Source organism: Homo sapiens, chromosome 5 (genome assembly GCF_000001405.40).
Source record: "Homo sapiens chromosome 5, GRCh38.p14 Primary Assembly".
Taxonomy (NCBI): Eukaryota; Metazoa; Chordata; class Mammalia; order Primates; family Hominidae; genus Homo; species Homo sapiens.
Genome location: NC_000005.10, coordinates 22,490,327 through 22,505,597, shown reverse-complemented (window position 1 = coordinate 22,505,597; position 15,271 = coordinate 22,490,327). Strand labels below are relative to the sequence as shown.

The 15,271-nt window shown below is 35.6% G+C and overlaps 1 protein-coding gene across 5 annotated transcripts in view; it reads left to right on the top strand.

Annotated features, from left to right (window-relative positions):
* Window positions 1-15,271, top strand: part of CDH12 (cadherin 12) — a 1,102,672-nt gene that overhangs the window by 347,747 nt on the left and 739,654 nt on the right. For all 5 annotated transcript variants that reach the window (NM_001364104.2, NM_004061.5, NM_001364106.2 and 2 more), the window contains one exon: window positions 234-328. The gene's annotated coding sequence lies outside the window, so the exon portion shown is untranslated. The remainder of the gene's footprint in view (window positions 1-233; window positions 329-15,271) is intronic.

The following is a 15,271-nucleotide window of genomic DNA, read 5'->3' as shown; positions in this document are numbered from 1 at the left end:
TATATCACAATGTATCAAAAGCAGCATTGTAAGTACATTGTACATACATCAAAAGTACATTGAGAAATGCACTTATAATGTAAGATATTAGCAATAGTGATAATCAGGTGTGAGGTATACAGGAACTCTCTATACCATCTTTGCAACTTTTAAGAAAATGTAAAAATATTCTAAAATAAATGTTTATTAGAAAAGATAGTTAACATTCTGACTGTATATGTTTGTCTTTCCAGCTTTGTTACCTAACAGCTTGGCTCTTTTGGGAAATATAGACAAGCTGGAACCCAGGAGCAGTTGGGAGTTTTAAAGAATGCCAGCCTTTTTAAAGGTAGGTAAAAAAAATCTTATCAAGATATATGCTTTTACCTTCTTAATTAATACCTGAAAATGCAAATCCTATTTAAAACTTCTTTACTTAAAAAAATTTATTAGAAATCAAAATATTCAAATATTTGTATATTTACAAGGAGTTGACATAAACACAACAAAATCATGAAACTTGAAGTAACCAGTTATTTCTACATTTTTTAGAATATAGGATTCTTTATTTTTATAATTATTTATTTTTTAGCTTCTTTGTTTTATTTTTCCTCACAGTTTCATTTTACATGCCAATTTGAGAGGATCTAATGACTATGTTCCTCCTAAAAACAGAAAGTGATTTCTGCCTTTTTTATTCTGTTTTTTTATGATGCTTTGTCTAGTCCCTCATAATTAGCGGGTATTATTTTTGTTAAATTGGATACGTCTCATTTCAAAGGGAAACCTCTGTTGAAACTCTCACATAGGAAACAGAGATAAAGTCATAAATTTTCTCTTCTTTACGAATATTGATATGGCACAAACTGGTTCAATTGTTTCTTGCGCTGGCAATTGTAATCTGCTTTTCCTTTGCTGATGGTAGGAATCTAAACACTGAGATTTAGACAGTTACAGTTAACCTTCACAGACATAGTAATTAAAGTGCTGCTTTGACACTCCCCGCTTGGTAATGGGAGAATCTACCCTTACTTAGGCTGTAGTCAAAACAAGCTTTATATTCTCAGTTCTAATCAGAGATCAGTTAAGATTAACCATTGATATAACAACTCAGAAAGACAAGGTTGAAGAGATAAGGCAGATGTGTAATTAAACTAATGTGGCTTTATGAATCTTCCTGTGATGGTTTTCAAACTCTCTGTGCATGCCCATATTTCTGAAGTAGAAAGATGAAGCCTTTTCTTTTTCTTTCTCATTATCCTTTTATGAGATTAGCTTATTCAGTAAAGGTTAGGCTTTAGTGTAGTTTTAAAACATTATCAATTAATTTCAGCTATCAGATTTGAGGAAAAAAATACAAATTTTAGATTAACAATGTAAGATGGTAAGATTGAAATAGAATGAACCATTTAATATCTCAACTATTAATAATTCCTCTCCCCCCATGGTCATCTCTTTTATCTAGTAATTTGTTCTCATCAATATTCAAAATTTCTATGTAGAAAATTGCTTACCTTTTCTTTGTGAAATTTTTGCATTTTTTGTAGAAAATTTTAATTAATTTCTAAATCTCTGATCTTGGATAATTTTGGTTTGGGGTTTCAGTCCAGATCTTTTATTTATAGAATAAGAGAAGTGAACACTTTGAATTTAATTCCTATAAAAGGCAACTCCATATTCTTAAATATCCATGATTATATCAACCTCAGTATTATCTGTGATGCAAATATGAATAATGAATAATTGATACTAAGCCATTCCAATGATAAATGCAGCACTTTCTCTCCTTTTCTTTAAAGCATAACAGAGCATTAAAACATCCAAAGGCCCAGATAAATGAGAAGAGACTCATACTCCTCCCAAATGTCCTTTGGTTCACTCTGTGCTATGTACAACGATAAGAAGAAATAAAAATAGTTTGATATTTATTTAACATACAACTACTTTAAAGATAATAATTTGAGAAAGGATTAATTTAAAGAAATTGGCATGTTCATTTGTTTTTAATTAGAGTGGAATTCATATTGATGCAGAATGCATTTGAGGAGAATGGCTTGAAATTATTTTCTTTTTAATATGAGGATTTTCATAAATGCCACATAAGCAAATACAGCTGAGAATAATCTCAGTGGAATGCTATAACAAAATAGAGAGTGATAATCAAGAACAATGAATATATAGATTTCAAGCCATACTAACTGATTATTAACATTTCTTTATTAAGAAAGACAGTTTTCTTTTATCAATTTAACTTTTAATAGAGTAATGCTGTGGAGCCTGTTTATGATGTTACCACCCCCTTTTATAATTTTCTTTTTCAACAATCACATAGGGCAGTGTATTATTTCTTTAACATTTTGCAAAACTTACTCTCATTCTATTCATTTCTCACTTATATTCATGTTTACTTAAGTAATTGTATGAATTTATTATAAATCATGCAAAAAAGTAAAGGGAAAGAGAAAGGAAATAAATCTTTCTTCTTTCATATGGTTAGATGAGCATTCTTTGATCATTTATAGAATACCTTCTTGTTCCAGTATGAAAAATATGGTTGAAGTTGGCATTTTTTTTCTTCCTGTAGTAGTTGGAAAGAGTAGGAAAAATGCAGCCAAAGGACATTTGAACTAGACTATAAAGAGAAATAGATAAAAATATGTAAAGAAGAGGATATAGATGTATAAAAGGCACAAAGATATATGATATCATTTCATATGTGGTGAATTTAAAACCATTTGAGGAGTTAGAGAATGAAATGTGTGTCAAATATGGGAATAGCTGGCAGATAAATCCAGAAGAATAGGCTTAGATGATGAAGAAACTTTAATGAAATGAAAAATATGTCTGGGATTGGGGCTTTATCTTTTATAGGATGTGGAGCTGTGTTTTGTTGTTTTAGTCGGTTTGCTTTTGAATGTAGAAGAATAACCTGATGTGGAGGTTTTGTGTGTGTGTGTCTGTGTGTGCGTGTGTGTGTGTGTAAAGATGACTGCTGGCAATAGACTGGGAGATTATATATATATCAGATCTTTTGGGAGCACCAATTTAATTCTATTTCCATCTATCCTGTATAATTTCTTAGGAAATTAAATAATTATTCAAAAATAATTTATTTCAAGATATGTTTAAATAGTTTAGGGTTTTAACTAATGTATTAGTGTGTTCTCACGCTGCTAATAAAGACGTACCTGAGACTGGGTAGTTTATAAAGAAAAAGAGGTTTAATGGACTCACAGTTCCACATGGCTGGGGAGGCTGCACCATCATGGTGAAAGGCAAAGGAGGAGCAAAGGCACATCTTACATGGCAGCAGGCAAGAGAGTATATTCAGGGGAATATCCCTTTATAAAACCACCAGATCTCATGAGACTTATTCATTATCATAACAACAGCATGGGAAAGACCCACCCCATGATTCAATTACCTCCCACTGGGTGCCTCCTACAACATGTGGGAGTTATAGGAACTACAACTCAAGATGAAATTTGGATGGGGACACAAGCCAAACCATATCAACTATCAAGATTCCACTAATCCTTTATTTTATGAAGATGAGGATGCAAAGAGTGTCGACAAATGGAAAGTTTTGGAAGTGAGCTTTTCACTGACACAGAGGCAAACAAATCTAGGATCTGCCTTTTAAAAAGCAAGTCTTTAGGGCATTGGTATGAATATCAGGTCCTGACACTCAGAAAACATTGCCTTTCAGCAGTGATGAGGTGAAACAGAAACTGATGGAAACATGGAGGGAACAGCAGATCTGCTCAGCCAGGAGTGGATTTGAGTCTTTCTTTAGTGTTCACTGTGTCCTGCTGAGTTGACAATAGGGTTCAAAAAATGAATTGCAGAGCCATCTGTTTTTTTTTTTTTTTAATATACTTTGTAAGGCATAACTAAAAATCATTTGGTAAATTTTGTTCATGTGATATTCCCTGGCAGGTTATTGTTAGAGTTGCAATTAGCACATCTGAAGAAGATAAATGCAGGGATATTTCTAATTTTGGTAATTGTCAAAGGTTAATAATTTGAGACACGCCTGTTAGGATTTCACAATGGACTTGTCATTGGGAATTATGATTCATCATCTACACAGAATAACAAGGAGAGAAAAGAAAGGAAAAATACAGAAACAGTTGATTATTCCAAAGTAGACTCTACCAGACTTTTAATTCAGACGAAAGAGTTATTCCAATTACTCATGATTGCTTCAAGCCTTCAGATTATTAAAACAGGTTTACTACAAGTGAGACCAGCAGAAAAGAGTACATTAAAAAAGGTATCCCAGTCTTCCATGAATTATCCTTTATGTAATTTTCTATTTCTTTGCTTTGTGTTTAATTTAAATAGTCATAGATCAGATCACACGATGCTCTTAAAATCACACTCAAGAGACACAAAGGTCATTTACATGCATTTTATTCCATGGTGCATATTTTCAGTTAATCTTAAAGGTCACTTTCCTTCTGTGAGTCTAAATATTCAATGCCTTAAATAAAGATGAAAGATATAAATAAATAGAGGATCTTTTTTTTTTCTTTCTGCCTTTAAAGCTACCTTGTTATATTTCATGCTGCTTTGATTTTTTGTGATAGGTCACAATGCAGGTTATTGTGCTATCATTCAAATTAGCTTAAAATGCCCTTAGTACAGAAGCAAGGAAATACATACATGTTTTTTGTCCTAATCAGAAAAAAAAAATTATACTGCAGGAGTGATGAAGAGAATTCTTGGTTATGGTCTATGGGACAACAATCCATAATTTAGTTTGCAGATGTCTGTGTAATTTAAGCAGCAGGCAGAACAACCACACAGTTGTAGATGCTCTGGGGAAAGGATACCAAGAGGCTCATAAATCATGGTAAGGATTAAAACCAATGAGCATTCATCTTCTTAACCTCGTAAGGGAATATGGAAAAGCCAAGTATCAGAACATACTGAGCATGGAATCTTTGTGCAGCAATCAAAGATGTCAGAGTTTTTAAGGCCTCTCTCAATTAGCATTGACCTGTCATTTGCAAGTCAACAGAACATAATTTTAAAGTTGATTAAAAAGAGGCCCTTTCCATATCAAATTAAATTGAGGAAGTGATAAGATATGTTTCTGGGCCATAGTAAAAGTGGAGTCAAATTATATGGAAATGCTTATCATTTGCTTTGATTGAAATATGTTTCTTCTGGGGCAGTCTATGAAAAATGACCTTACAAATATCCAATCCATAACAACTGTCATGTTTAACTGAACATTTATAAATGGCTAAATGTCATGAGAAAATTCTAACTTCAAATAATCAAGGAAGGGAAATAGAGACAGCTGGCTCTCTCCTATAACATTTAGTAAATAAATGGTCTGTTACTAATTGTTTATATTTGAAAAATTATCCTAATCAAAGGTCTTTGGATTCAAATGAGTAATTCATACACAGTGAGGCAAGTTTCATTTTGTGTTGAAGATAGAAACTTTAATCAAATTTTAAAGCTTTTGAAAAAGGCTAATCTGTTAATTTCCCCAGTATTCTTTTAAATCAGGTTCATGATACAACTAAATTTGCCAATTTTATAAGAATGCCAAGACAGTGCAGGAAATAAAAAAAATCAGTTATTCAAGGACGATCATGAGCCTGTTAAGGAGATACAAACAGATTCAGTTTCTGATTCTGCAGTTTAATATAAATATCCCCTGGCAATGATTATTTTTAGGTAGTCAGTACATAATTATCTATTTTAGTTAAGGAGAACTGTAGTGTGGCCAGTGTGGCAGATAATTTTTTATATATATTTGGCATTGGAATATATTTTCGTTCATATTTTTAAATGATTTCATCTGACTTTTGAGAAAGTCACACTGCCTTATCTTTGAAAACAGCCAGAATAACATGCCAGATACTGTAATTTGGGCTACTTCTACACTGGGTATACCCTATTCTACACCCCATACTAGGGACGAATAACCATCTTTTCCATTTAGCAGGCAATAATATGCTCCTCTAGTTCAAATATCTTTTTCTGCTACCACTTTTTCTTCCTCTGGAATGGGGATTAAGTATGTATTCTTTGACACAAGCTCATATAATGATTTCAAAGTATATCAACTTTGTTACATTGTATAGCATTGCACTTCGTTTTTCTTGACCTGTTTTCTAACAAGACTGTGCTGCATTCCCCAGGAACCATTCTAGAGAAGGTAGATACAGAACTTTAGGTACCCAGCTAGACTTTTCTGCCATGTAAACTAAGACTGATTACTAAGATAAATATATGGGGAAATGTACATTTTATCTTTGAACTAAAAGTAGAATAAATCACTTTTCTTGACTACATAATAACCTTTGTCATTTAACCACACATTCGTGGATATTTCAGAATCTGCTAAAAATAGTAAAACTACCTTTTAAGAAGATCACACTGGGCTGAGCACGGTGGGTCATGCCTATAATCCTAGCACTTTGGGAGGCCAAGACAGGCGGATCACTTGAGGTCAGGAGTTCAAAACCAGCACTGGCCAAAATGGTGAAACCCTGTCCCTACTAAAAATCCAAAAAAAAAAAAAATTAGCCGGGTATGGTAGCAGGTGCCTGTAATCCCCGGTACTTGAGAGGCTGAGGCAGGAGAATCACTTGAACGGGGGAGACAGAGGTTGCAGTGAGCCAAGATCATGCCACTTCACTCCAGTCTGGGTGTCAGGGCAAGACTACGTCACAAAAAAAAAAAAAAAAAAAAGAAACAGAAAAAGAAAAAGAAGAGCACACTATTTGTATCTATGTCTACTTATATAAATTATATAAATTATTTTTAGTAATAATTATTAAATGAAAATAATTAGTTTGATTTAATCATTATATAATGCATGCATGTGTCTCACCATCATATTATACCCTGTAAACTTATACAATTATTACGTGTCAATTAAAACTACAACTAAAAAAGACTTAAACATTGGCAGACTAGATTTGAGAAATAATATTATATATCATATGTATATTTTTGGCATTCTTAAATGCTTTTGTATTTCAAATATGTTTGTAAACAGACATATTTGGGTGACATATTCTGGGTGACAGAGAGAAAAATAAGAATTCACTTTGCCCCTTTCATTTTTTCTCCTTAATAATTTTATCCCTAGTTTATATAAAATATCAGTAGGGGGATGGATTATAGACTCGTGGATTAATTTACTCAAATATGGTGTTGAAAATTGTCTCTATATTATTTTGTGTCAAGGATTCTTCTCTGGGTTGTGGATAAATTTATTAAAAAATCATTAAATGTTGTTAACCATGTTGGTGTTTACATTCTAGTGAGGAGAATACAAACAAGTTATTAAATTATATAATATTTAAATTATGTATAAATAAGTTTATAGAAAATGATAAATGCTATGCAGAAAATTAGCTGGGAAGAGTGCCAGGAAGTTTCTGTGTTGTACAGAGAAGGGGAAATGGTAGTTTGCAAATTCTGAAAATATGTTTCAAGAATATCTTCCTGATAAAATAACATTTGAAATGACTTGGAATAGATATGGGAGCAAAGCTTGAAAGTGTCTGAAGAAGAGCTTTCCAAATTAAATCACAAATTTCAAGTCGCTAAGGTAAGAGCTATTCAAAAACCAACAAGAAGGCCAGTGTGATGGAAACTTGTAGAGAGTGGAGAAAGATTATAGAAGAGGTTCAGCTGGGCACGGTGGCTCACGCTGGCTCATCCCTGTAATCCCAGCACTTTGGGAGACTGAGTTGGGCGGATCACTTGAGGTCAGGAGTTTGAGACCAGCCCAGCCAACATGGTGAAACCCCGTCTCTACTAAAAATACAAAAATTATCCCGGTGTGGACGCACATGTCTGTAATTCCAGCCACTTAGGAGGCTGAGGCAGGAGAATTGCTTGAACCTCGGAGGCTGAGGTTGCAGTGAGCCGAGATCACACCACTGCATTCCAGCCTAGGTGACAGAGCCAGATTACATCTCAAAAAAAAAAAAAAAAAAAAAAGAGATTCGACAGGCAGTGGGGCCTTGAGGGCATTGGAAGGACCTTGATGGTTTTATCTTTTCAGAGGACTTCTCTGGCTGATGTGTTGATAGTGCACTATAGAGGCCCAGGGGTGGAATTAGGAAGCTCCTTTTTAGGCAAGTACAACAACCTGGTGAGCAATGATACTAGGTGGGAACAGAGATACAGCAGAATAACGGGTGAGCAAAGGAAGGAAGGTTGAGACAAGATGATTGGTGATGTATTATATATGCAGTGTGAGGAAATGAGAAAGATCCAAGGTGAATTCATGGTATCTGGCCTGAGCAATGGGAATATAGCTTTGCCAGTAACTGAACAAATGAAGTCTGAGCTGCCTTTAGCCAACAAAGGAGAAATGTTGACTAGGAAATTTGATATATTCATACAAAATTCAGGGGTGAGTTCATCCTAGTAGATATGTTATATGATATTGACTAAGATTTGTTTATTTAAACAAACACATCACACTTTCTATGTCAGGCGTTATTCTATGATTTTAGTATGTGTTATGTTGTTTAATTAATCCTCATAAGAATTGTATGAGAAAGGCACTATTAACATTATGTTCATTTAGCAGATGAGAAAATGACGCTAAAAGTCTAAGGTAATATTTTCCAAGATCACACAGCTGGTAAGTGGCAGAATTGGGAGTCAGACCCAGGCACAATAGAATGATTTTACTCAACTTGACCCAGGATTTGATTACTAATGCAACAAGTTCAGACGAGAATAGATATCCAAGAACTAGGCTCGGGGGCATGGGAGTGAAAAACATCAGAGGAATGAAGAAAAATAAAAAGAGCAAAAGAAGTGGTCAGTGTAGGGTGAAGACAAGAAGTGTGGTGTTCTGAAATTAAATGAAGGAAGCCTTTCAACTGGGTCAATTGCTGCTGATGAATCTTAAAAGATCAAGACTGAGCACAGATGATTGGAATCACAACGTGGATTCCATTGTTTATGTTGACAACAGCAGTGTTGATGGATTGCTGAGCAAAAATTTTGATGAGAGCTACGAAAACAAAATAAAGACAGAATTAATTTTCAAGATCAAGGCAGAAGCTTGAAAGGAATTGCTGAGAAAGATTTATTTGGAATTTTTGTGCTATTTTAAAGCAAAGACATACTTATGGTTCCTAGTTCCAAATTCACAAAAACAATTTGTCATACACATTTCAAATGACCAAGGAGAGATTATAACAAAGTGACATAGATCAAAATCCATCTACATTATGTTGCAACATTTTCCCTAGAACATGTAAACTTAGAACCCCTCCAACAAAATTCTTAATTTTTATGTCATCAAAATTAGGATTAAATGGGTAATTCACCATGTTACTAACAAAGTAGCATTGACTCCTTTGGGCCTTTTAGGGTTGCCTGGACAGTTTAGGTTGCAGTGCTTAGCTGTGTTGGATATGTCACCAAACTGTAGAAGTGCCAAGCACAGGATTCATGTTGAATGGCCTAGTTTCCAATTCAGCTTAGCCATTTATCAGTAGTGACAAGTTACTTAACCTCTCCATTTCCCATTTCTTTCACCTACAACATGAAATAATATTGGTCCAAGAATCGTGTGCATCTAATAGGGTTGTTTATAAGGATTATGTAGTTCATATTTGCATACACTATTTCTGAAAGTTAGAACAGTGCCTGGTCTATAAGAAACCAGTTTAAGTGGTTTGTAAAAAAGTAAGTTCCATATTTCTGTTTTCCTCTAGAATTTTCAAGGAATAGAATGTTCCCCCTCTTCTGTGTTTCCCCGATGTCAAAATTCATGGATCCCCTTCCACTTCAAGAAAGCTAACTCACATTGCAATTATTAAGGGCGTCATACTCAGTTAATATTTCTTCTCATAGATTTCACTGCATTCTTAGTGGTTGTATGTTCTAAAGTTTATTTTTTCTTATATTTCTAAATTTGTTTTTTGCGCTGTGAATTACTTCACATTGATTTAATGAAATGTCTTAAATGAATATCTATTTCTGGCATATATGTATATGCATTCATACATATATATATTTATGTGTGTGTGTGTATATATATCTTCCAACTTGTCAGACTCTTTTCATGTTTCATACACCATAGCAAGACATCCCTCCCATATGGAAGCTGCTACTGAAACTCTTGACAGACATAAGGTCCTTGGATACAATAAATCATGTGTAAAGAACACATTTAGCCCCACCACCTTGTTAATTGAATTTATAACTAAAAACATTCCCATTTTCTCACTTTTAATAATATTTTTCCCAGTCATAAATAGCCAAATAACATAATCAATGTTCAAAAATTCTCAATGAACATCTTTAAGGAATGTTTCTGTGAAGAGTGGTAGGATCCTTTAGTTTTTTGCTGCATATGATGAGGCAGATGGAGAAATTCAGTTTTTAAGCATGATATTTATTCCATTTTTTTGTGTTGTTTGAAATTCATTTTTCCTCTTGCCCCAAGTGATGCCTGCCATCTAAGCACATGTTTGAAACCAGATAGAAAGCATATGTCCTGTATACCCGTGGGGTCTGACAGAAGGGGTGAAATATAGGATAACTGCTTCTTCAATTGTGCAAAAAGGAGTTTTTGTTGTTGTTGTTTTGCAAATGGTATTTCTTCAGAAGTGCAAGATGCTGTGTTGTAGCCTTTTGATAGTTTAATTATCGTCTCATTTTCTTTCAAAATTATATGAGTCTTCTTAACGATAGGGAATATTAAAGGTACGCATGAATGTATCCGGGGTATCACTACACCTTAAATTGAATTCTCCAGCCTCATCACAGAGTACTCCTTGTGTTTGCTGAGCAGCATAAGGTAATTCTAGTTATAAACTTGCACTAACCTTGTGTCTCACAGGCTCTTCATGGGATGGTCTTTGTTTTTCCAGCTTTTATTAGAGCCACTGCCCCACCTGGTAGAGTAAGTCCTCACTTAACATCATCAATAGGTTCTTGGAAACTGCAGCTTTATTCAAAATGCCATCTAATGAAACCAGTTTTACCATACGCTACTTGATATAAACAAGATGTAAGTTCCTGGAGCAGATTTCTGGTCACAAGAACATCACAAAACTTCAAAATAAAGATCAAAACACTTCTTACATTAGACATTGAAATACATGTGAGTTGTATGTACATTTAAGAGAGATGAATAAATGTAAATAAAGTAACTATTTACCCAATCATTTCAGTTCAGGGTTGTGGATAGCCGGAGCCTGCCCGCAGCTCAGGGTGAAAGGCGGGAACCCGCCCCAGACAGGGCACTGTTCCATTGTAGGGCATACTCACACCCACATCCACACCCACTCACACCAGGACCGTTTAGACACACCGATTCACCTAATGTGCACAGCTTTGGGATGAAGGAGGAAACCAGAAGACTTGGGGAAAACCCACGCCAATCTGGGGAGAACACACCAACTGCACAGACGGTGACCCTGGCTCAGATTCGACATTTTTTAGTCTCATCAACATTACTATGAAACAATGTCGAACAAAAGGTATTTTCTGAGGACTTACTGTACACCATGCTCGACCATATACAGTACAAAACTTTCATTCTCAACCACAGCCCTCCCAATTTGTGGGGGTTTCACATGATCACACTCTGCCCAGACACCTTTCTCCTCTTATCTGATCACCTGAACACTGCCTCCCCCAACCCTGGACCATCCCACTGCCAACAGCTTGTCCACTCATCCTAGAACCTGTGTCAGATTCCTTTTGTTTTGACCATCCCATCACATTGTTTATTGTCTGTTTAGTTATCTGTATCTAACATTACATTGCAGGCTTGTTTCCAGGTCCCATGGTCTCATCTAAGGCCCTGTGGCCTACTCTGCCCAATGGCCCATTCTCAGTTCAGTGTATTCTGTCCTTCTTTCAAGTACCCAGCCTTTCCTCCCATCTCACGGTATCCATAAACTTTTCCATCTTAATGGAATGGCTTTCTCCTCTTTTATTCATAATTACCTGGAAAAATTTTACCCAACTTTCAGATCATCTCAATGGATACTTCTTAAAGGAAAAAGTAAGGACAAAAAAAAAAATTTTTCAAAAAAAACCAAAAAAACTATTTTTGAAATAGTGCATGCTCCCTGTCCTCTAAAGCTATTTTCAGTACCAAGTAGAGTGCGTAGCATGTATCTATGCATGCATTAAATTTATTATATTCATTTTTCTAACGATTCATTCATTTATTCAAAAATTTTTCTCAATATATTTCATGCACCTATTTGAGTGCCTTGGTAGAGACTTCAACAAACCCAGTATGTTTCTGCTCCCCTGGAGTTCACATTGCAGTTGAGGGTGACAGAAAATCAACAAATGAATTATTAATTTATAAGATATGATTAAGGACTAATAATGCATAATAAAGCCAATCAAGGAAGTTGATGTATTAGAGGCACACTGGGAGTTTAATTCAGATTGGTGGTCAGAAAAGTTGCCTCTGACTTGAAGCCATTTAAGCCAAGATACGAGTAACTGAGAGGAATCCACGATGAGATCATGTGAGAAAAGAATTTACAATGGGAAGTAAAAACGAGTAGAGGGGACACCCAGGAGGGATAAGTTTGGCATATTTGTGGAACAAAAGTGAACACCACCGTGGCTTCAGTGGGCAAACAGAGAGAGATTGAGAAAGGATATGATATCTGATAAGTTGTCTGGAACCAAATCTTTCGGGTCTTTTTGGCTATGATGAGGAGTTTGGATCTTCTGTGTGCGATCGGTGGTCTTCAGAGTGGACTGAGCAAGGAAATGGCAGGATTATAAAACAAAAAATAATTGGTGACCTCAGGAGAGCAAGGGAGAAAAAACTTATTCCCACACAGGTGTGTGGGAATGCTATCTGGAAGGAGCCAGCCATTAAGACAGATCTTAAAGAGTGAGCAATATTCTGCAAATAAAGCCAATATAAGAACTGCATATTCATAGAGGAATGAATAAACAAAAGAAGTTTTAGAAAATGAAAAATCAGGCTGGATGCTGTGGCTCACTCCTGTAATCCCAGCACTTTGGGAGGCTGAGGCATGTGGATCACCAGAGGTCAGGAGTTTGCGACCAGCCTGACCAACATGATGAAACCCTGTCTCTACTAAAAATACAAAATTAGCTGGGGATGTTGGTGTATGCCTGTAATCCCAGCTACTCGGGAGGTTGAGGCAGGAGAATCACTTGACCCCGGGTGGCAGAGGTTGCAGTGAGCCAAAGTCATACCATTGCACTCCTGCCTGGGTGACAGAGCAAGACTCTGTCTCAAAAAAAAAAAAAAACATTTTTAGTAGGAGACTGTAGGCATGGAGTGTGGTATTTGTCTAGAAAGAAGTCTGGGAACGGAGACTGGAAAGTCCTGCTGTTTTCTTACTGGTTATCTCTGCTGTAGGGTCCTGCCCTGCAGCTTCTCTTTTGCACATCCTATATACTGAATTCTGGAGGTGAGAAGGAAATATTCTCCAGGGCGCTGTTATCTGTGCTTCTGCCAGGCTGTGTCTTGGCCATGGCTTCTGATCATCAAGAATGTCAACTGTTATGGGCTTAATTTTGTGTCCTCAAAATTCATATGCTAACGTCCCAACTCCCATTACCTCAGAATGTCACTGGAAATAAGATATTTAAAAGAAGTAATTAATTGAAAATGAGGTCGTTATAGTGAGCCCTAATCCAATGTGATTTATGTCCCATAAGAAGAGGACATTTGGCCACAGACACAGAGAGAAGACATCGTGAAGACAGGAGAAGACGGTCATCTACAAACCAGAGAAGTCGAACAGCCCTTTGCTCAGAGCTGTCAGAAGAAACAAGCCCTGCAAATACCTTGATTTTGGAATTCTAAACTCTAAAATTGTGAGACAATAATTGTCTATTGTTTAAGCCAAGCTTGTCCAACCCACAGCCCACAGCCAGTGGTCCAGGATGGCTCTGAATGTGGTCCAACACAAATTTGTAAACTTTCTTAAAACATTATGTTTTTGTTATTGTTGTTGTTTTTGTTTTTTTTTTTGTTTTTTTTTTTGCTCATTAGCTGTCCTTACTGTTGGTGTATTTTCTGTGTGGTCCAAGTCAATTCTTCTTCCAGTGTGGCCCAGGGATGCTGACAGATTGGACACCCCTATAAGCCATCTAGTCTTTGATATGTTATTATGGCAATCCTAGTTAACTAATAGATGATCCCATGAATTTTTGTAACATACAACAATTTGTCTACTTAAATGGAATCCAAATAAAGAAAACGTGGTATATGCATACCATGGAATACAACACAGCTATAAACAACTCAGGATAACAGCCTCCAGTTGCAACCATGTGCTTTGCAGCAACATGAATACAACTGGAGGCCATTATCCTAATTGAGTTAATGCAGAAACAGAAAACCACATACCACATGTTGTCACTCATAAGCAGGAACTAAACATCGGGTACACATGGGCACAAAGATGGGAACAATAAACATTGGGGATTGTATTATAAAAGTAGGGAGAGAGGAAGGGGAGGAAGCATTAAAAACTACCTATAAGGTAATATGTTCACTACTTGGGTGATGGGATCATTAGAAGCACAAACATCAGTGTCGTGCAATATACCTATGCAACAAACCTGCAAGTGGACCTCCTGAATCAAAAATTATAAACAAATAAGCAAATAGAAATGAGGAAGTTTGAAAAACAAAATAAAATAAAAGGAATCTAGGCTGTCCTGTATGTAAAGGGAAGAAACCATTGAACAGAATTGTGCTTCCACCTCCCTGGCTCACAATGACAGTTCTTGACAAAGTGTTGACTGCATCTCTCAAAACCTGTAAGGCTGTGCAATTAAAGGCAAGAGTGTTAGTTCTCCCTACATTTTCACTATAAAAAGGAGACTTACTTATCAACTAAATAATGTTCATAGGAGGTAGTTAGTTGTGTGGGGTTTATTTAAAATGTGTATATTTAGTAGAAGTAAGACAGCAAACTATGGCCATCCTCAGTTTTTTTTTAACTGATTAAAGATCAGTAATCTTTAATTACTTCAATTCTAAAGTTGAGAAATTTGCAGAGAGCCTTATTTTTTTTTTTCATTTTCATCTATGGATTTTCTGTCTTTGTGAATTTTTTTCTTATGAATGGGGGATATTTATCAGCACTTTCTCTTTCTCAATTCTCCTGTTCTCGATATGAAATGGCTTGTTATGCAGGTATTTCCTGGTTTGATTAACCCATTACTGCTCAAGGCAATAAAGAGAAAGCAGAACTCTATAACATCTAGATAAAACGGATTTCTTGGAATCAGGGTAGCAAAATTAGAATCAGTATAGAAG